A 23,621-nucleotide genomic window follows, 5' to 3' on the forward strand; every position below is an offset into this window, starting at 1 on the left:
AGAGAGACTACAATTTCAGAAGAACTGGCTTGTCAATTAAAAATGAAAAATTAAAAATTATTTAAAGGACCAAACTGTAAAATTACCAAAGTTCCTGAGTTCATCCCACATGTATTTTTACATTTAAAAAGGTTGGAACATATATGTTCAGACAGTAGCAAGAGACAGGGATAAAGTCGGTTTGGGGAGAGAGTCCAGGATAACAGGAAATATGCAAAGTTTTATTTTCTCAGGAAAAAAAAATAGATACAGTGACCCTTTTACATTTGGTTTGCCTCAGGATGCAAAGGCTTTTTCCCACCTGATCTTATTTCTCATTACTTCCTATTTCTGGTTCATTATAAATGATATAAATTAAATTCCAATATGATGTTAGTTTGCTAAGGTTTACGAAAGCAGGGCAAAGTGGCAGTTTTGCCTCCCTTCACAAATCAAAAATTTTAACAGGGATCATCCTGGTGGTGCAAATTGGAGTTTGAATGTTTGTTTTGCTTACCAGCATTTTTCAAGACAGATCTTGCGTGTGTTTTAGTATGTCGCTCTAGTCGTATACAAAATATCACAAATCACTTCATCTCCCCAATCCTCATCGAATGTTCCTCGCCAGCCCAGTGGTCCTCCAGAGCAAAGCCCGGCCTTCCTTCCAGCTGTCTGGGCCAGGAGCTTGAGGGTCTTCTAGCAAGCACCCCGGAGGCTGTCTTCTGACTGTCATGCAGGGCTGTGGCAAACTAGCTGACTGCGCAGTCACGTGGAGGGGGGAGGGGCTGACGGTGGGTCATGTGACCAGGCTCTGGGTTGAGCCGGCCTAGAGGAGTGTTTTCTTACACCCAGAAAGTACAGGAAAGGCAGACGACAACTGTGCTCCGCAGAGCGGGAGGTGGGGGGAACGGCGGAATATTAAGGTGGGTAGGTGTCTCTCCATGCTTCATCAGCCTGAAAACTAATTTCTCAGGCGACCGGAATTACAGCATTTCTTGGTAGAGGAAACTATCCCTCAGCCAACCGCTAGCGGTCTTAGACGGTCTGTCTTTTGTCCAGGAGCTCAAGAAGCAGAGACTCTACCTGCCCTAGGCGTTCGTGAAGAGAAGCAGCTGTTGCTATTGGAGGAGGTGGGTGCAAGGACGGCAGATGCCATCCCTGAGAGGCGGTGACTGAGACTAGATGCGGGTACAGGTAGTGCCTCGGATCCCCGGGCTGCCTCCTGCCTTTTGAACATCCCAGGGGTCCCAACCCAGCGCCCTGTGTTTCTATGTGTGGGTGGGAGAGGTGGGCATATGGATGGAGTTGGCTTCAGGGGAGCCCAGAGAGGGGAAATGGTGAAGTGACAATTCGTGAACACGTGTGGTGCTGGATCAGGAAAGGTAAGGGTGGGGATGGGAACCATGGACTATGCTACTGCTGTCTTCCTCCCACCAAGTAGGCACTCACTCTGCTCTCTGTCTGTCTGTTTACTGGCAGTATTCAGGCAGTGGGGATGGCTGATACCAGCTCAAAACTGGCGGAGGGTGGAGGAGGGCAGAAGAGAACACATACATCTGCCTTTTGCTCCAAGGCTCCAGCTGGCTGGGGATGCAAGAGAGGAATGAACCTCAATCCAGGCAGTTCTAGGAAAAGAAGGAGGAGACATAGACTCGAGGGGAGGAAACCTAGATGCTGTGGGCCCTTCACTTAGGATTTCTCATTAGGATACTCCAAGCTTCTCGACCCCCAAGGGGATTCCTGGATCTCAGCCCCATGCAGCAGGATCTCATTCCCATTGAGGGACACAAAGTGGGTTGCTGCTCCATGTGATGCTCTCTCTCCCTGCTGTCTTGGGCCTTAGAGGAGGGTCTGGGGACCACCTACAGAAACTGCTTCATGGATAGTCTCATAGGTTCCCCTCTGCATACCCTTTGCTCTCTTGTGTTGTGATCTCTGCTCATTCCTTAGGACGTGTTTCTTTGGTCCCATTCCAGGTAGCAGCCCCATGGTAAGTCCTTCTCCTCTTTCACATTGAGTATTCTCCTTTCCCCCTGCCCCATGCATCCACTGGGTACCAAGTGAAAGAAAATGGTTCCTCTACCCACAATACTTCTGGGATAGAATGTGTGGATTTTTCACACCAAGCAATTCTTTTATTCTTTGAGGACACCAGCTAGGTATCCTACAATTTAATTCAATTCTGACACTACCCAGAGTTAGTGCAGACTTCTCTGGTTAAGGGCTCATTCCCATAAGACTGCCCTCCCCCACTTCAGACAACAGTCACAAGTAATGGATCTCCATGTCACCCACACTTCTGTCTGACTTAGCTACTAGTTGGGAGTTCTCACAACCCCCTCCTCAGGTTCAATAATTTGCTATAAGGGCCCACAGAACTCAGGGAAATGCTACTTCCTATTATTGGTTCATTATAAAGAATATAAATTAAAAGCCAGATGAAGAGGTACATATGGCAAGGTCCAGAAGGGTCCCAAATGCAGAAGCTGCCATCCATGTGGATTTGGGGTACACCACCTTCCCAGAATATGAATGAGTTCACCAACCTGGAAAATCTCAGACAGTTAGGGTTTTTGTAGAGGTTTCATTGCATAGATATGATTGATGAAATCATTGACCATTGGTGATTAGCTCAATCTCCAGCCCCTGTCCTCTCCTTGGAGGTCAAGGGGTGAGGCTGAAAGTTCCAACCCTCTAATCATGTCTTAGTGGGGGAGGGGGAACATGGACATCCACCTTTTGCTCCAAGGCTCTAGCTGGCTGGGAATCCAAGGGAGGAATGAACCTCAATTTTCAGCTCTAGGGAAGAAAGGAGGAAACAGAGACTCAAGAGGAGGGAACCTAAATGCTTTGGGTTCTTCACATAGGAATTTTCATTGCGATACTCTATGTTTCTCAACCCCCAAGTAGATTTCTGGATCTCAGCCTCAGGCAGCAGCATCCTGAGGATCTGCCCTGGATATGAGGTCCTGAAAGGACCCAGTCTCAAACTGTGCTCTCAACAGTTCGTTTTCATCTAATGACAAGGGTTGCTGCTCCATCTGATGCCCCCTCCTCCTAAAGTCCAGGGCCTCAGAAGAGGGTCTTTCTGAGAACCACCTACAGAGACTGTCTTACAGATTCCCCTCTGTAGACCCTTTGCTGTCTTCCTTGTTTCAGTTTTATAGCCAATGCTTTAGACTTGGTGATTTGCACCTATTCTTGGTGACATCTCCTAGTTGGTGTTGAAGCCTTTGGTCATAGCTCAGGTCTATGAGATAGCCACATGATACCAAATTCTTTTAGGATAATATATTAGAAAAAATAAATTATATTGGTCCTATTAACCTCTATATTTGTTGCATTTTACAGATTTGAAGCCAACTCATAAATGTCTTCCACATTATTTTTTACAGCTGCATAGTACTTTATTGTGTCACTACCATAATTTATTTACTCACTTTCCTATGAGTGGACATTTGTTTCTAATATTAAGCTGGTACAAATAATACTGGAAGGAATAACCTTGTGAAAATATACAGTATTTTTGTATGTTTGGACGTGTATCTTCACAGATTCCTAGATCTGGTGCTGGTAGGTCAAATAATAAGTGCATGTGCGTAGTTTTATTAGGTATTCTCAAATTTCCCTGGAAAGGGGTACTATAAGTATTTACTGCCACCAGCAATATATGTGAGTATCTGTTTTACTACATCCTTGTTAATCAGTTTCTTATTATTCTTTTGACGTTTGTAGAGTATCTGATGATTTAACCTCTCTCATTCCTGATGTTACTAATTGTGTCTTCTCCTTCTCTCTCTTTTTAAAAATTTTTCTGCCTAGAGGGTTATCAATTTTATTGACCATCTCAATGAACTAGCGTTTAGTCTTATTGATTTTCTTTATTGTTTTACTGTTTTCTATTTCCTTGGTTTTTCCCTTCATATATATTATTTTTTTTGTTTACTTGGTGTTTAAGTTACTCTACTTTTTCTGGTCACTTAAACTAGAAACTGAGGCCATTGATTTGAGACCTTTCTTCTTTTCTAATATAGGGATTTTAGTACTGCAAATTCCCCTCTAATACTACTTTAACTATATCTCACAATTTTTGATGTGTTGTGTTTTCATTTTTCTTCAGTTTGAAATTACTTACTGATTTCTCTTTGAGTTTGTTCTTTGATGCAAGAGTTAGTTATTTAGATGTATGCTGTGTAGTTCTCAAGTATTTGGGGACTTTTCCAGTTATTGATTTCTAATTTAATTACGTTGTAGCCAGAGAACATACTTCGTGTAACTTGAATCCTTTTAATTTACTGAGACTTCATTTATGGTCCAGAATATGGTCTGCCTTGATAAATATTCTATGTGTACTTGAAGAGAATGTGTATTCTTCTGTTATTGTGTGAATTGTTCTATAAATGTCAATAAGGCCCAGTTGGTTCAGAATTATTTTATTTTATTTTATTTTATTTTATTTTATTTTATTTTATTTTCTAAGTTCCAGGGTACATGTGCAGGATGTGCAGGTAGATGTGTGCCATGGTGGTTTGCTGCATCTATCAACCCATCACCTAGGTAAATTACATAGGTAAATGTGTGCCATGGTGGTTTGCTGCATCTATCAACCCATCACCTCTAGCTATTAAGCCTGGCATGCATTAACTCATTTTCCTAATGCTCTCCCTGCTTGCTGCCCTCCCCCCACAGGCCCCAGCGTGTGTTGTTCCCGTCTCTGTGTCGATGTGTTCTCATTGTTCAGCTTCCACTTATAAGTGAGAACCTGCAGTGTTGGGTTTTCTGTCTCTGCATTAGTTTGCTGAGGATAATGGCTTCCTGCTTCATCCATGTCACTGCAAAGGACATGATCTCATTCCTTTTTTATGGCTGCATAGTATTCCGTGGTGTACATGTACCACATTTTCTTTATCCAGTCCATCACTGATGGGCATTTGGGTTGATTCCACATCTTTGCTATTGTGAATATTGCTGCAGTGAGCATACATGTGCATGCATCTTTATAATAGAATGATTTATATTCCTTTGGGTATATACCCAATAATGGGATTGTTGGGTCAAATGGTATTTCTGATTCTAGGTCTTTGGGGAATCGCCTCACTGTCTTCCACAATGCTTGAACTAATTTACATTCCCAACAACAGTGTAAAAGCATCCCTATTCTTCTGCAACCTCACCAGGATCTGTTGTTTCTTGACTTATTAATAATCGCCAGTTTGACTGGTATGAGATGGTATCTCATTGTGATTTTGATTGCATTTCTCTAATGATCAGTGATGTTGAGCTTTTTTTTCATATGTGTTTTTGGCCGCATTTATGTCTTCTTTTGAAAATTGTTCATTTCTTTTGCCCACTTTTTAATGGGGTTGTTTAGTTTTTTCTTGTAAATTTAAGTTTCTTGTAGATTCTGGATATTAGACCTTTGTCAGATGGACAGACTGTAAAAGTCTTCTCCCATTCTGTAGGTTGTCTGTTCATTCTGATGATGGTTTATTTTGCTGTGCAGAAGCTCTTTAGTTTTATTAGATCCCATTTGTCAATTTTTGCTTTTGTTGCAGTTGCTTTTGACATTTTTGTCATGAAATCTTTGCCCATCCCTACATCCTGAATGGTATTGCCCAGATTTTCTTCTACAGTTTTTATAGTTTTGGGTTTTACATTTAAGTCTTTAATCCATTTTGAGTTAATTTTTGTATATGGTGTAAGGAAGGGGTCCATTTTCAATTTTTGGCATATGGCTAGCCAGTTCTGCCAGCACCATTTGTTAAATAGGGAATCCTTTCCTCATTGCTTGTTTTTGTCAGGTTTGTCAAAGATCAGATGGTTGTAGATGTGCAGTTTTATTTCTGAGTTCTGTATTCTGTTCCATTGGTCTATGTGCCTGTTTTTGTGCCAGTACCATGCTGTTTTGGTTACTGTAGTACTGTAGCCTTATAGTATAGTTTGAAGTCAGGTAGCGTGATGCCTCTAGCATTGTTCTTTTTACTTAGGACTTTCCCGGCTACACGAGCTCTTTTTTGCTTCCATGTGAATTTTAAAATTGTTTCTTCTAATTCTGTGAAGAATGCCAATGGTAGTTTAATGGGAATAGCACTGAATCTATAAATCACTTTGGGCAGTATGGCCATTTTCACAATATTGATTCTTCCTATCCATGAGTATAGAATGTTTTTCCATCTGCTCATTTCCTCTCTGATTTCCTTGAGCAGTAGTTTGTAGTTCTCCTCGAAGCGGTCCTTCACTTCCCTTGTTAGCTTTATTCCTAGGTATTTTCTTCTCTTTGTGGCAATTGAAAATGGGAGTTCATTCATGATTTGGCTCTCTGCTTGTTTGCTGTTTGTATATATGAATGTTTGTGATTTCTGCACATTGATTTTTTATCCTGAGACTTTGCTGAAGGTGCTTATCAGCTTAAGAAGATTTTGGGCTCTATTGATAGGGTTTTCTAGGTATAGGATCATGTTATCTGTATACAAGGACAATTTGACTTCCTCTCTTCGTATTCGAATATGCTTTATTACTTTCTCTTGCCTGATTGCCCTGGCCAGAACTTCTAATACTATGTCTAATAGAAGTGGTGAGAGAGGGTATTCTTGTCTTGTTCTGGTTTTCAAGAGAAATGCTTCCAGCTTTTGCCCATTCAGTATGATATTGGTTGTGGGTTTGTCATAAATGGCTCTTATTATTTTGAGGTATGTTCCTTCAATACCTAGTTTGTTGAGAGTTTTTAACATGAAGGGATGTTGAATTTTATCGAAGGCCTTTTCCGCATCTATTGAGATAATCGTGTTTTTTTCTCTTTAGTTCTGTTTATGTGATGAATTACATTTATTGATTTGCATATGGATTCGGTTTGTTAGTATTTTACTGAGGATTTTTGCATGTATGTTCATCAGGGATATTGGCTCGAAGTTTTCTTTTCTTGTTGCATCTCTGCCAGGTTTTGGTATCGGGAGGATGCTGGCCTCATAAAATGAATTAGGGAGGAGTCCCTCCTTTTCAGTTGTTTGGAATAGTTTCAGAAGAAATAGTACCAGCTCCGCTTTGTAACTCTGGTAGAATTCAGCTGTAAATCCATCTGGTCCTGAGATTTTTTTTCGTTGGTGGGCTGTTTATTACTACCTCAATTTCAGAACTTGTTATTGGTCTGCTCAGGGATTCAACTTCTTGCTGGTTCAGTCTTGGAAGGCTGTATATCTCCAGGAATTTATCCATTTCTTCTAGATTTTCTAGTTTATTTGCATAGAGGTGTTTATAGTATTCTCCGGTGGGGTTTTTTTTTGTATTTCTGTGGGGTCAGTGGTGGTATCCCCCTTATCATTTCTGATTGTGTTTATTTGAATCTTCTGTCTTTTCCTCTTTGTTAGTCTAGCTAGTGGTCTATTTTACTGACTTTTTTTTATAAATAAAAAACCAGCTCCTGGATTCATTGTGCAGTGGTGCATTCTCAGCTCACTGCAAGCTCCGCCTCCCGGGTTCACGCCATTCTGCCTCAGCCTCCTGAGTAGCTGGGACTACAGGCGCCCGCCACCACGCCCGGCTAATTTTTTTTGTATTTTTAGTAGAGATGGGGTTTCACTGTGTTAGCCAGGATGGTCTCAATCTCCTGACCTCGTGATCCGCCCGCCTCAGCCTCCCAAAGTGCTGGGATTACAGGTGCGAGCCACCGTGCCTAGATTCATTGAATTTTTTAAGGGATTTTCATGTCTCTATCTCCTTCAGTTTTGCTCTCATCTTGGTTATTTCTTGTCTTCTGCTAGCTCTGGGGTTTGTTGGCTCTTTATTCTCTAGCCTTTTTGTTGTGATGTTAGGGTGTCGATTTGAAATCTTTCTAGCTTTTCGATGTGGGCATTCAGTGTTATACATTTTCCTCTTAACACTGCTTTAGCTGCATCTCAGATTCTGGTACATTGTCCCTTTGTTCTCATTAGTTTCAAAAAACTTCTTGATTTCTGCCTTAATTTCATTATTTACCCAGGAGTCTTTCAGGAGCAGGTTGTTCAGTTTCCATGTAGTTGTGTGGTTTTGAGTGGGTTTCAATTCACTCAACTCTTAATCTTGAGTGCTCTGTGGTCTGAGAGACTGTTATGATTTCAGTTGTTTTGCATTTGCTGAGGAGTGCTTTACTTCCAGTCATGTGATCAACTTTAGAGTGAGTGCCATGTGCTGCTGAGAAAAATGTATTTTCTGTTGTTTTTGGGTGGAGAGTTCTGTAGATACCTATCAGGTCCATTCGGTCCAGAACTGAGTTCAAGTCCTGAATATCTTTGCTAATTTTCTGTCTCAATGATCTGTCTTATACTGACAGCAGGGAATTAAAGTCTCCCACTGTTATTTTGTGGGGGTCTGAGTCTCTTTGTGGGTCTTTAAGAACTTGTTTTATGAATCTGGGTGCTCCTGTATTGGGCTCATATATATTTAGGATAGCTAGCTCTTCTTGTTGAATTGAACCGTTTAATATTATGTAATGCCCTTCTTTGTCATTGTTGACCTTTGTTGGTTTAAAGTCTATTTTGTCAGAAACTAGGATTCCCACCCCTGCTTTTTACTGCTTTCCATTTGCTTGGTATAATTTCCTCCATCCCTTTATTTCAAGCCTGTGTGTCTTTGCACATGATATGTTTCTCTTGAATACAGCATACTGATGCATCTTCTCTTTTTATCCAGCTTGCCATTCTATGTCTTTTAATTGGGGCATTTACCCCATTTACGTTTAAGGGTAATATTGTTATGTGTGAATTTGGTCCTGTTATCATGATGCTGGTTGATTAATTTTGCAGACTTGTTACTGTAGTTGCTTCATAGTGTCGTTGGTACTTCAGTGTGTTTCTGTAGTGGCTGGTAATGGTTTTTCCTTTCCATGTTTAGTGATTCCTTTAGGAGCTCTTTCAAGGCAGGCCTGGTGGTGAGAAAATCCCTCAGCATTTGCTTGTCTGAAGAGGACTTTATTTTCCTTCGCTTATGTAGCTTAATTTGACCGGATATAAAATTCTGGGTTGGAAAATTTTTTTCTTTAAGAATGTTGACTATTGGCCCCCAATGTATTCTGGCTTGTAGGTTTTCCACTGAGATCTGCTGTTAGTCTGATGAGCTTCCCTTTGTAGGTGGCCTGGTCTTTCTCTCTGGCTGCCCTTATCATTTTTTCTGTCATTTTGACCTCGGAGAATCTGATGACTATGTGTCTTGGGGTTGATCTTCTTATGGAGTATCTTATTGGGGTTCTCTGGATTTTCTGAATTTGAATGTTGGCCTGTCTTGCTAAGTTGGGGAAGTTCTCCTGGTTGTTATTCTGAAGTATGTTTTCCAACTTGGTTCTATTCTCTCTGTCTCTTTCAGGTACTCCAATCAGTCATAGGTTTGGTCTTTTTACATAGTCCCATAGTTCTCGGAGGTTTTGTTCATTTCTTTTCTTGCTTTTTTCTCTAATCTTGTCTGTCTGCCTTATTTCAGCAAGATAGTCTTCAAGCTCTGATACTCTTTCTTCCACTTGCTCAATTTGGCTATTGATGCTTGTGTGTTGCTTGAAGTTCTAATGCTGTGTTTCTCAGCTTCATTAGGTCATTTATGTTTCTCTGTAAACTGGTTATTCTAGTTAACAGCTCCTGTAACCTTTTATCATGATTCTTAGCTTCTTTGTATTGGGTTATAACATAATCCTTTAGCTCAATGAAGTTTGTTATTACCCACATTCTGAAGCCTACTGCTGTCAGTTCATCCATCTCAGCCTCAGCCCAGTTCTGTGCACTTGCTGGAGAGGTGTTGCAATCATTTGGAGGAGAAGAGGCATTCTGCCTTTTGGAATTTTCAGCAGTTTGCCTTGGTTCTTCTTCATCTTCATGGATTTATCTACCTTTGCTCTTTGAGGCTGTTGACCTTTGTATGGGGTTTTTGTGTGGTCTTTTTTTGTTGATGTTTTTGTTGTTGTTGCCTTCTGTTTGTTTGTTTTTCTTCCAGCAATCAGGTCCCTCTTCTGCAGGTCTGCTGCAGTTTGCTGGGGGTCCACTCCAGACGTTGTTCACCTGGGTATCACCAGTGGAGCCTGCAGAACAGCAAAGATTGCTGCCTGTTCCTTCCTCTGGAAGCTTTGTCCCAGAGGGATACCGACCTGATGCCAGCCAGAACTCTCCTGTATGAGGTGTCTGGCTACCCCTGTTGGGAGGTCTCACCCAGTCAGGAGGCATGGGATCAGGAGGAAGCTGTCTGGCTTCCGCTTAGTGGAGCTGGCGTGCTGTGCTTGGGGACTCCCCCTTGTCAGCAGGCAGGAAAGAGTAAGTCTGCTGAACCTGAGACCATGGCCACCCCTCTCTGAAGGTGCTCTTTCCCAGGGAGATGAGAGTTCTGTCTGTAAGCCCCTGGCTAGAGTTGCAGGAATTCCTGCAGGTAGGCCTTGCCCAATGAGGAGGGATGGATCCAGGTGCCACCTAAAGAAGCAGTCTGGCCAAGATCTTCTACAGCCGCTGTGCTGTGCTGTGGGGGAATATCACCCAGTCCAAACCTCCCAGCTTCTCTAGCACTGGCAGTGGAAAACTGCCAACTAGAGCCACAGTAATGGTGGTCGCCCCTCCCCCCAGGAACTTGGTCATCTTCCGCAGACTCCAGGCTGTTGTGCTGTCCAGCAGGGATTCCAAGCCAGTGGGTCTTAGCTTGTGGGATTCTGTGGTTGTGGGACCTACTGAGCAAGGCTACTTGGCTCTCTGACTTCAGCCCCCTTTCCATGGGAGTGGACGGCTCTTCTGCCACCCTGGAGTTCTGGGAGCCACCAGAGTATGTAAAAACTCCTGCAGCTCAGTGCCTGCCCCAACTGCTACTGACTGGTGCAGCTGCCGTAGGTCTGCCCAGTTTTGTGTTTGGGACCCAAGGCCCTGGTGGTATAAGCACACAAAGGAATCTTCTGATCTGCAGATTGCAGAAATCCGTGGGAAAAGTGTAGAACCCTGAGCAGGTAGCACAGTCCCTCACCACCTCCCTTGGCTGAGGGAGGGAGGTCCCTTTGCACCATGCAGCTCCCAGGTGAACTGTCACCCCACCCTGCATTTCTTTGTTCTCCATGGATGATGCCATCCACCTAGTCAGTCCCAATGACCCAGAGAAAATCTGTGTACCTCAGTTGGAAATGCAGAAATCACTTGCCTTTTGCATTCGTCTCAGTGGGAGCTGCTGACCAGAGCTGTTTATACTCAGCCATCTTGGGCCCTTCTCCAGTTCATAATTTTATGTCTTCTATTGTACAGCTTTACTTATTTTGTCTCTGTTTTTTGTTATTGAAAGAGTGTTGCTGAAATCTTTGACTGTAAGTATGCATATCCCTATTTACAATTGTGGATATGCCTATCTCATTGAAGTTCTATCACAGTATTTTTGTTATTATTATTGTTTATTAATATACTGCAGGGTTCACCTTGACAATTTTTCATTATTGTTTATGATTGAACAATAATTTTCTCATTATTGTTTTGTTATGTTGAACTCATTAAATCAGTTTGGATAGCTTTTGTTCTTTTTCTAGTCTCAGGAACTGTTTATATAAGATAGAGATCGTCTGTACCTTAAAGACACCTTAAAACTTATCTCTGAAACATTTGTACCCAATGCCTTTTAGGGTGGCACATATATCATATACTCTTTACAGATTAAAATAAGCTTTTCATACTCATTATCTGCACCGCAGCTTATTCACACAGTTTGTTGTACCTGGAGAAGCTACCTTTCTTTTTTTTTTTTTTTAATCTAACTTTTTTTTTTTTTTTATTATACTTTAAGTTTTAGGGTACATGTGCACATTGTGCAGGTTAGTTACATATGTATACATGTGCCATGTTGGTGCGCTGCACCCACTAACTCGTCATCTAGCATTAGGTATATCTCCCAATGCTACCCCTCCCCCCTCCCCCCACCCCACCACAGTCCCCAGAGTGTGATATTCCCCTTCCTGTGACCATGTGATCTCATTGTTCAATTCCCACCTATGAGTGAGAATATGCGGTGTTTGGTTTTTTGTTCTTGCGATAGTTTACTGAGAATGATGGTTTCCAATTTCATCCATGTCCCTACAAAGGACATGAACTCATCATTTTTTATGGCTGCATAGTATTCCATGGTGTATATGTGCCACATTTTCTTAATCCAGTCTATCATTGTTGGACATTTGGGTTGGTTCCAAGTCTTTGCTATTGTGAATAATGCCGCAATAAACATACGTGTGCATGTGTCTTTATAGCAGCATGATTTACAAGAAAAAAACAAACAACCCCATCAAAAAGTGGGCGAAGGACATGAACAGACACTTCTCAAAAGAAGACATTTATGCAGCCAAAAAATACATGAAAAAATGCTCATCATCACTGGCCATCAGAGAAATGCAAATCAAAACCACTATGAGATACCATCTCACACCAGTTAGAATGGCAATCATTAAAAAGTCAGGAAACAACAGGTGCTGGAGAGGATGTGGAGAAATAGGAACACTTTTACACTGTTGGTGGGACTGTAAACTAGTTCAACCATTGTGGAAGTCAGTGTGGCGATTCCTCAGGGATCTAGAACTGGAAATACCATTTGACCCAGCCATCCCATTACTGGGTATATACCCAAATGAGAAGCTACCTTTCTTACTTTGTCCCTTCCCTCCAGTTATCCCTCCCCCGCTATAATGTCTGTCAAAAGCCTGTCGATCCTTCAAATATTTTCTACAAGGCCATCCACCCCCTACATGGTGACACTCCTGATCCCTCTCACCAACTCCATGAACTTTCACCTTCTTTTGAGCCCACTTCCTAATCTAATGTGTTTATACCTTCACTCCAGCGGTTAACTTGTACTGTTTGATTGGACAGCCATTCAGATAATCTTCATATTCTGCCATTAACATTCCTGATCCTTCCTTCTCTGTGTATCTTTGTTTATCCTTGGCCCAGGTATTCAATGCTGGTTCAGGTTAGTGGAAACACCTTGCTTCAGAATCAAGTAAATACTTCCTTTGAGATGGGACTGTACACTAGAAAGTTTGTCTTAGAAAGAGATGGTAAGCTTAGAACATACTGTTTTTAATGTGTTTATGACCTTAGCGGCATATATTTTTAATTTTTAAGTCATTTACTAATGGAATTGGATAATGTAGTATTGCACTGTTGTTTTGATATTAGTAAAGAGGTTAAACATATTTTCAGATGTTTATTACCTAGTTGTATTTTCTTTCTTGTGAGTGGATATTTTTAGGTTTTCCCCATTTGCCTTTAGAGGTCCTTGGTTTAGAGGTTTTCAGAGGTTCAAGAAATCCTTATAAATTTCTGTGCACACACAAACCTATGAACAGTCCAGCAATTTTGAAAGGAAAGTAATTTGGAGGTTGGGCAGGAATCTAAAATTTTTTTTATCAACCTATGGTTATTAAAACAGTAGAACTGACTCAGGAAAAGATAAATGGGACACAGAGAGCCCATATATAGGCATTTATACTAAGACGACAGTTCAGATTCATGGAAAAAAGTGAAATATTCAGTCTGCTGTGGGTCCTCAAGACCATCCACATGTTCAATGATTTGCTAGCAGGACACACAGGACTTGGCATATAGTTGTACTCACAGCTGTGATTTATTACAGTGAAAGGATACAAAACCAAACCAGCAAAGGGGGAAAAAGCATGGAGCAAAATCTAGAAGAAAATAGGCTCAAGCTTCCAAGAGTCCTCTTGCTGTGTGTGGTCACACAGGATATGCTTAATTCCTCCAACAATTAATTGTGACAACATGTGTGAAATGTTTTGTCTACCAAAGACAACATTAGAGACTCAATGCCCAAGATTTTTACTGGGGGCTTTTCATGTATCTGCCCTTTGCCTAGCACAGGCCAAAATTCCAGAATCCAAGAAGGAAAGAAAGTATTTTGCATGAACCACATTGTTTGCACAAAAAGTTTATGTACAGTGAGCCATTCTTATCAGCTCTAGGAATGGTGGGAATTCTCCCTTAGTCCAAGTTCCCAGACTCCAGGGCCGTCCTGGCAAGCAGGAGTTTCTAAGGAGAGCAATCTCAGGCCTGCTATGTTAACGTTTTTTTTTTTTTTTTTTTGCATATTTAGTGAACGGTGTTGGAATAATTAGCTAGTTATTTGGGAAAACAAGTTAAATTCCAATACACATGAACAAATCCCAGGAAGATTAAATGTCTTAATGAGTGTTTTAAATGGAGTGGAAGGAGAAATAAATACTCATTTACCTAGAATGAATTTTGGCTGGTAAATGAAAAATGGAAGAGGAAAATAGAAATGGATTTTTTTCTACATAATACCAGTATCATTTATTCAATAATACGCCCCTACTCCAACAATTTCTCATGTCTCTTTTGAAATTGATGATGTCATTTTCACATGTGTTTCTGAGGTAACTGTTCTCTGGTGTTAGAAACATACCAGTTCACTTACTGCAGTTTATAATAAGCATTGTGTCTTATCTGAGATGTTATATACATAACTCACATACATAGTTGGGCTCTCTAGTTAATTTCATCTCCAATTAATTTTATTTTCATATTCCATCAATTAGATTGATTAGTGGTGAGGGACACTAATATTCTTCTATAACTCCCTTGAAACTTTCTTGGAGTTTCAAAATGGAAAAGGCTGTTGATCAGGCCAAAGGATGTGTCTCTGTGTTGCCAGGTCTACTGGATGTCCTCAAGAAGCCATCCATAATAACACTTAGTACCTTGATGGCATTAAAAGAAGTACACAATATCTGGCCCTAGACCATACCAGCTCAGAAGCTCAATAACCTCATAACAGAAAAATAGATCCATCTGTGTGGGAAAAGCTCATGTTTAGCAAGTTCACAAGATTTACAGGATTCAAAATATCAGTTTATTAAATTATAAGGAGAAATAGTAACAGCATAGGAACTAGAATACTAGCATTTAGTGGATTCACTCACTTTATACAGACCTAGAGAAAAATAAAATTAAAATCACAAGACCAAGTAATTAATTTTGATTGAGAAGTAAATTTTTTAATTTAATTTTAAGTTCCAGGATACATGTACAGAATGTGAAGGTTTTTTATATAGGTAAATGTGTGCCATGGTGGTTTGCTGCACCTATCAACTCATCACCTAGTTATTAAACCTGGCATGCAATAGCTCTTCTCCCTAATGCTCTTGCCTCCCCTGCCCTCCCCCTTCCTCCCCCGACAGGCTCCAGTGTATGTTGTTCCCTTCCCTCTGTCCATGTGTTCTCATTGTTCAGCTCCCACTAATAAGTGAGAACATGCAGTGTTGGGTTTTCTTTTCCTGCATTAGTTTGCTGAAGATAATGACTTCCAGCTCCATCCATGTCCCTGAAAGGACATGATCTCATTCCTTTTTATGGCTGCATAGTATTCTATGGTATATATGGTACCACATTTTCTTTATCCAATCTATCATTGATGGGCATTTGGGTTGATTCCACATCTTTGCTATTGTGGATAGTGCTGCAATGAACATACATGTGCATGTATCTTTATAATAGAATGATTTATATTCCTTTGGGTATATACCCAGTAATGGGATTGCTGAGTCAAATGGTATTTCTGGTTCTAGGTCTTTGAGGAATTGCCACACTGTCTTTCACAATGGTTGAACTAATTTGCATTCCCACCAACAGTGTAAAAGTGTTCCTGTTTCTCCACAGCCTCATCAGCATCTGTTGTTTCTTGACTCTTTAATAATTGCCATTCTGATTGGTGTGAGATGGTATCTTAATGTAGTTTTGATTTGCATTTCTGTAATGATCAGTGATGTGGAGCTTTTTTTCATGGTTGTTGGCTGTATAAATGTCTTCTTTTGAGAAGTGTGTGTTCATGTCCTTTGCCCACTTTTTAATGGGGTTGTTTGGGGTTTTTTGCTAAATTTGTTTAAGTTCCTTGTAGATTCTGAATATTAGACTTTTTTCAGATGAATAGATTTCAAAAATTTTCTCCCAACCTGTACGTTGTCTGTTCACTCTGATTATAGTTTCTTTTGCTGTGCAGAAGCTCTTTAGTTTAATTAGATCCCATTTGTCAATTTTTGCTTTTGTTGCAATTGCTTTTGACATTTTTGTTGTGAAATCTTTGCCCGTCCCTACATTTTGAGTGGTATTGCCCAGATTTTCTTCTGGGTTTTTATGGTTTGGGGTTTTACATTTAAGTGTTTAATCCATCTTGAGTTAATTTTTGTATATGATGTAAGGAAGGGGTCTAATTACAGTTTTCTGCATATGACTAGACAGTTTTTACAGCACCATTTATTAAATAAGCAATCCTTTCCCTGTTGCTTTTGTCAGATTTGTTGAAAATCAGATGGTTGTAGATGTGCAGTCTGATTTCTGAGATCTCTATTCTGTTCCATTGGTCTATGAGTCTGTAGTCTATGTAGCCTTGTAGTATAGTTTGAAGTAGTGTGATGCCTCCAACTTTTTTCTTTTTGCTTAGGATTGTCTTGGCTATACTGGCTCTTTTTGGTTCCATATGAATTCTAATGTAGTTTTTTCTAATTCTGTGAAGAATATCAATGGTAGTTTAATAGGAATAGCATTGAATCTATAAATTGCTTTGGGCAGTGTGGCCATTTTCACGATATTAATTCTTCCTATCCATGAGCATGGAATGTTTTTCTATTTATTTGTGTCCTCTCTGACTTTTTTGAGCAGTGGTTTCTAGTTCTCCTTGAAGAGGTCCTTCATTTCCCTTGTTAGCTGTATTCCTAGGTATTTTATTCTCTTTGTAGCCATTGTGAATGGGAGTTTTTTCATGATTTGGCTTTCTGCTTGTCTGTTGTTGGTGTATAGTAATGCTTGTGATTTTTGCACATTGATTTTGTATCCTGACTTTGCTGAAGTTGCTTATCAGCTTAAGAAGATCTTGGGCTGAGGTGATGGGGTTTTCTAGATATAGGATCATGTCATCTGCAAAAAGAGACAATTTGACTTCCTCTCCTCCTATTTGAATACCCTTTATTTTTTTCTCTTGACCAATTACCCTGGCCAGAACTTCTAATACTATGTTAAATAGAAGGGGAGAGGCCAGGCACGGTGGCTCATGCCTGTACTCCCAGCACTTTGGGAGGCCGAGGCAGGCAGATTACGAGGTCAGGAGATCGAGACCATCCTGTCTAACATGGTAAAACCCCATCTCTACTAAAATACAAAAAATTAGCCAGGTGCGGTGGCAGGTGCCTGTAGTCCCAGCTACTCGGGAGGCTGAGGCAGGAAAATGGCGTGAACCCGGGAGGCGGAAGTTGCAGTGAGCCGAGATCGCACTACTGCACTCCAGCCTGGGTGACAGAGCGAGACTCCGTCTCAAAAAAAAAAAAAAAAAAATAGAAGGGGAGAGAGAGTGTGTTTTTATCTTGTGCTGGTTTTCAAGGGAAATGCTCCCAGCTTTTGCCCATTCAGTATGATATTGGCTATGAGTTTGTCATAAATGGCTCTTCTTTCTTTTCTTTTTCTTTCTTTTTTTGAGATGGAGTCTTGCTCTGTCACCCAGGCTGGAGTGCAGTGGCACAATCTCGGCTCACTGCAACCTCTGCCTCCTGGGTTCAAGTGATTCTCATGCCTCAGCCTCCCGAGTAGCTGGGACTACAGGCACCTGCCACCATGCCAGGCCAATTTTTGTATTTTTAGTAGGGATGGAATTTCGCCATGTTGGCCAGGCTGGTTTCGAACTCCTGACCTCAGGTGATCTGCCCGCCTCAGCCTCCCAATGTGCTGGGATTACAGTCATGAGCAACCACCCCTGGCCATAAATGGCTCTTATTATTTTGAGGTATGTTCCTTCAATACCTAGTTTGTTGAGAGTTTTTAACTCGAAGAGATGTTGAATTTTATCGGAGGCCTTTTCTGCATCTGTTGAGATAATCTTGTGGTTTTTGTCATTGGTTCTGTTTATGTGATAAAATACGTTAATTTGATTTCATATGCTGAACCAGACTTGAATCCCAGAGATGAAGCCAACTTGATCGTGGTGGATAAGCTTTTCAATATGCTACTAGATTCTGTTTGCCAGTATTTTACTGAGGATTTTTGCATTGATGTTCATAAGGGATATTGGCTTGAAGTTTTTTTGTTTTTGTTGTATCTCTGCCAGGTTTTGGGTATCAGGATGATGCTGGCCTCATAAAGTGGGTTAGGGAGGAGTCCCTTCTTTTCAGTTGTTTGGAATAGTTTCAGAAGAAGTGGTCCCAGCTCCTCTTTGTACCTCTGGGTGAATTCAGTTGTAAATTTGTCTGGTCCTGGGCTTTTTTTGGTTAGTAGGCTATTTATTCCTGCCTCAATTTCAGAACTTGTTATTGGTCTATTCAGGGATTCAACTTCTTCCTGGTTCAGTCTTGAGGGTCTATGTGTCCAGGAATTTATCCATTTCTTCTAGATTTTCTAGTTCATTTGCATAGCGGTGTTTATAGTATTCTCTGGTAGTTTTTTGTATTTCTGTGGGGTCATTGGTGATATCCTCTATCATTTTTTATTGTGTCTATTTGATTATTCTGTCTTTTCTTCTTTATTAGTCTAGCTAGTGGCCTATTTATTTATTTATTTATTTATTTATTTATTTATTTATTTTATTTCAGAAAACCAGCTCCTGGATTCATGGACTTTTTGAAGGGTTTTTCATGTCTGTATCTCCTTCAGTTCAACTCTGATCTTGGTTATTTCTTGTCTTCTGCCAGCTCTGGGGTTTGTTTGCTCTTGGTTCTCTAGTTCTTTTAGTTGTGTTGTTAGGGTGTTAATTTGAGATCTTTGTAGCTTTTTGATGTGCACATTTAGTGCTACAAATTTCCCTTTTAACACTGCTTTTGCTGCGTCCCGGAGATTCTGGTACTTTGTATTTTTGTTCTCATTAGTTTCAAAGAACTTCTTGATTTCTGCCTTAATTTCATTATTTACCCAGGAGTCATTCAGGAGCAGGTTGTTCAGTTTCCATGTAGTTGTGTGGTTTTGAGTGAGTTTCTTAATCTCGAGTTCTAATTTGATTGTACTGTGGTCTGAGAGACTGTTATGATTTCAGTTCTTTTGCATTTGCTGGGGAGTGTTTTACTTCCAATTATGTGATCGACTTTAGAGTAAGTGCTACATGGCACCAAGAAAAATGTATATTCTGTTGTTTTTGGATGGAGTGCTCTGTAGATATGTGTCAGGTCCACTTGGTCCAGAGCTGAATTCAAGTCCTGAATATCCTTGTTAGTTTTCTGTCTTGACAATCTGTCTAATATTGACAGTGGGGTGTTAAAGTCTTCCACTATTATTGTGTGGGGGTCTAAGTCTCTTTGTAGATCTCTAAGAACTTCTTTTTATGAATCTGAGTGCTCCTGTATTCGGTGCATATATATTTAGGGTAGTTAGATCTCCTCGTTGAATTGAACTTTTACCATTGTGTAATGCCCTTCTTTGTCTTTTTTGATCTTTGTTGGTTTAAAGTCTGTTTTGTCAGAAGCTAGGATTGCAACCCTGCTTTCTTTCTGCTTTCATGAGCCTATGTGTGTCTTTGCATGTGAGATGGGTCTTTTGAATACAGTACACTGATGGGTCTTGACTCTTATCCACCTTGCCATTCTGTGTCTTTTAATTAAAAATACAGAATGCTTCATGAATTTGCATGTCATCTTTGCACAGGGGCCATGCTAATCTTCTCTATATCGTTCCAATTTTAGTATATGTGCTGCCAAAGTGAGCACAATCTTTTTTCATATTAATTTAAATGTGTAAAATGTAGTTATAAAGTTGGAGCATATGATCAAGCCTGAATGATCCTACTCAAAGTGCTAATCTGAAGTTTAAAAAAAAAAAAGGAATCTATGCCAGAATTTATTTAAATTGACAACAAATTACACATTATTTCATAGCAGGTTTTTTTTTTTATGAAAGTAGCAGTGAGCACATTGACATTATGATGCCAGCTTCTTATGTCTTTGTGGAATGGTAACAAGCAGTTTGCCACAGGTGACTGAACTGGTTTATTAATTCTAGTAAGTTTCTTGTGGATCTTGGGATTTTCTATGTATAGCATCACATCATTAATGACGAGAGAGAGTTTCACTTTTTCCTTTCCAATTTATATGCCCTTTATTCTTTTGTCTTGCCTAATTATCTGGCTAGACTTCCAGTACCATGTTGAATTGATGCAGTAAAAGTGGGCATCCTTGTCTTGTTTTTGATTATAGGAGAAAGTCTTTCATCCTTAAGTATGATGCTAGCTATAAGTTTTTTGTAAATGCCTTTTATCATGTGAAGGAAGTTCTCTTTTATTCCTGGTTTGGTGAGTGTTTTTATCATGGTAGGGAATTGGAATTTGTCAAAGGCCTTTTCTGTATCAATTTGTAAGAACGTGATGTTTTTCCTTCATTCTCTTAATGTGATGTATTATGTTGATTTTCATATATTGAACTAAATATGTATTCCTGGAATAAATTCCACTTGGTCATGGAGTATAATATTTTAATATGCTGTGAGATTCAGTTTGATAGTTGTTGATATTTTTGAGAATTTTTACATCTATATTCATAAGTGATATTGATCTATAGTTTTCTTGTGATATTTTTGTCTGGCTGTGATCTCAGTTTAAGGGTGTCTTCATAGAATGAGTTAGGAAATGTTGCAATCCTCTTCTAGTTTTTGGAATACTTCAAGATGTGTTTGTGTTAATTTTTTTTTTTTTTTTTTGAGACAGTCTCGCTCTGTCACCCAGGCTGGAGCACAGTGGTGCAATCTCAGCTCATTGCAACCTCCACCTCCCGGGTTCAAGCTATTCTCCTGCCTCAGCCTCCCAAGTAGCTGGGATTACAGGCATGCACCACCATGCCTGGCTAATTTTTGTATCTTTAGTAGAGATGGGGTTTCACCATGTTGGCCAGGCTGGTCTAGAACTCCTGACCTCAGGTGATCCTGCTCACCTCAGCCTCCCAAAGTGATGGAATTATAGGCGTGAGCCACTGCACCCAGCTTTATGTTAATTACTTTTAAATGTTTGGTACAATTCACCACTGAAGCCATTTGATCCTGGACTTTTCTTTGCTAGGAGGTTTTTGGTTACTGATTCATTCTCTTTACCTATATCTCATCAGATTTTGTACTTCTTGAGTCATTTGGGCAGTTTTTGTGTTTCTAGGAAGTTGTCCATTTTATCTAGGTTATCTAATTTGCAGTAGACAATTGTCCATAGTATGTTTTATACCACTTCATATTTCTGTAAGGTCGCTAGTAATGTCCCCACATTTTATTTCATTTTAAAACTATTTAATTGATATATGATTGATATATAAAAAAGCTCTATACATTTAATGTTAATGATAAGGGCATAAATATATCTATCACTTTCCAAAGAGTCCTCCCATCCCCTTTATTATCATTGTGTGTCTGTGTGTGTGTGTTTGTGTGTGTGTTAAGAACAATTAACATATCTACTGTCTTAGCAAAGTTTAGGTATATAATACATTATTGTTACCTATCGATATTATGCTGTATATTAGTGCATTTGATAGGAAAAAAAAACACAAGATGTTCTTCCTTCTCTCAAATGCTCCATTCAACACAACACAGAACACTTTTTGTGGCCAAAATGTGTGGCTTTTTTCCCTAAACACCAAACTTTTCTGCAACAGACACCAACAGGGTGTCCTATAATTCAATTTGATTATGACACTCTCTACCTGGAATTAGAGTCAAATCCTACAGGTTAAGGGCTCAGTCCCACAAGATGGCCCCCCACTTCTAATGCCAGTTGAAAGCTCCAGATTGTTTTACACATGCTTCTGACCTACCAGCTAATAATCAGGGTTTTTCTAGACCCCTTCCTCAGGTACAATTAATTTGTTAGCATGACTCACAGAATTTAAGAAAACACTTACATTTACTGGTTTATTATATTAATAAAGGATATGACGAAGGGTATAGTTGAACATTGAGATGAAGACATACATAGGGTGTGGACTGGAAGGTTCCTGAGTGAAGGAGCTTCTGTCCCCTTGTAGTTGGGGTGTGCCACCTTCCAGTAGTCTCTCCTGATCCATTGCATTTATGTGCTATCAGCTGTAATGTCTCTTCCTTCGTTTCTGATTTTTTCGAGTCTACTCTCTTTTTTTCTAGTCTAGCTAAAGGTTTGTCAATTTGGTTTATCTTTTTGAGAAACCAACTCTTAGTTATCTGGTCATTTCGATTGTTTTTCTAGTCTCTATTTCATTTATTTCTGCTGTTATATTGATTATTTTCTTTTTTTCTAATCACTTTAGGCTTGATTTTTTCTTCTTTTTCTCTGTGAGTTATAAAGTTAGGTTGTTTATTTCAAATCTTTTGTTTTTCTTAATGTTGGCATTTATTGCTATAGACTTCTCTGTTATAATGGCTTTTGATGTATACTATAAGTTTGGTATATGATATTTTCATTTTTGTTTCTCTCAAGATAATTTTCATTTCCTTTTTTATTTAATCTTTGATTTATTGGTTTTTCAGGGGAATGCTGTTTAACTTCCATGTATTTGTGACTTTTCCAAGATTCCTCCTGTTGTTGATTTCTAGTTTTATATTGCTGATATAAGTATTATTATTGATTCTAGCTGATAACAAGTTTAATCACAGACAATAACTACACTTTTACTTCTCCACTGCCACATTTTAAGTTATTGATGTCACAATTTACATCATTCTGTATTGTGTGTTCATTAAAAAATTATTATGGCTAGAGTTATTTTTAATGCTTTTGTCTTTTAACTTTATACTAGAGTTGAAAGTGATTTATATAACATCATTACATTATTAGACTATTCTGAATTCAACTATATACTTATTTTTACTGGTGAGTTTTATACTTTCATATGTTTTAATGTTGTTAATTATCATCCTTTTGTTTCTAAACTTGAAGAACTCCCTTTAGCATTTGGTAAGGAAGGCCTATTGGTGATAAACTCCCTCAGCTTTTATTTGTCTGGGAACATTTTTATTTATTTATTTATTTATTTTCATTTCTGAAGGACAACTTGCTGGACAAAGCATTCTTAGTTGGTAGTGTTTTTTTTTTCTTTCAGCCCTTTGAATGTATTATCCCACTCTCTCCTGGTCTGCAAGGTTTCTTCTAAGAAATCCCTTGTAATGTTATGGGGATTCCCTTTATGTGGTGAGTTGCTTTTCTCTTGCTGCTTACAAAATTCTCCTTGTCATTGACTTTTCGCAATTTGATCATAATGTGTCTCGGTGAATACCTTTTTATGTTCAATCTGTTTTGAGTTCTTTGGGCTTCAAAGATCTGGATATTAATTTCTCTCTCTAGATTTGGGAAGTTTTCTGTCATCATTTATTTAAATATGCTTTCTCTCCCTTTCTTTTTTTCTGCTCCTTGGCCTTTCATAATGCATCTATTGGTTCACTTGGTGGTCTTCCATAGTCCTGTAAGCATTCTTCACCCATTTCCATTCTTTTTTCTTTTCATTCTGTATACTGGATAATTTTAAACAATCTGTCTTTAAGTTTACTGACTTTTTTCCTGCATGATTAAGCATGTTGTTGAGCTATCTGTTGAATTGTTCAGTTCAGTTATTGTTCAGCTCCAGAATTTGTTTGGTTCTTTTGTATAGTTTCTATCTCTTTGTTAAATTTCTCATTCTGTTCATGTGTTTTTAAAATTTCATTTATTTATTTATCTGTGTTATGTTG

At 39.4% G+C, this 23,621-nt stretch overlaps 1 protein-coding gene and 1 pseudogene across 4 annotated transcripts in view; one reads left to right on the forward strand and one right to left on the reverse strand.

The window, feature by feature from the left end:
* Positions 1-23,621, forward strand: part of ARMCX5-GPRASP2 (ARMCX5-GPRASP2 readthrough) — a 308,717-nt gene that overhangs the window by 59,812 nt on the left and 225,284 nt on the right. Inside the window, exons 1-2 of one of the 4 annotated variants that reach the window (NR_146585.2) lie at positions 824-902; positions 1,039-1,109. The exons of the other annotated variants lie outside the window; for them this stretch is intronic. The gene's annotated coding sequence lies outside the window, so the exon portion shown is untranslated. Of the gene's footprint in view, positions 1-823; positions 903-1,038; positions 1,110-23,621 lie in introns of those variants that run through there. 4 annotated transcript variants of the gene reach the window in all.
* Positions 19,549-19,654, reverse strand: RNU6-589P (RNA, U6 small nuclear 589, pseudogene; annotated as a pseudogene).

The sequence above is a fragment of the Homo sapiens genome, chromosome X (genome assembly GCF_000001405.40).
Source record: "Homo sapiens chromosome X, GRCh38.p14 Primary Assembly".
Lineage (NCBI taxonomy): Eukaryota > Metazoa > Chordata > Mammalia > Primates > Hominidae > Homo > Homo sapiens.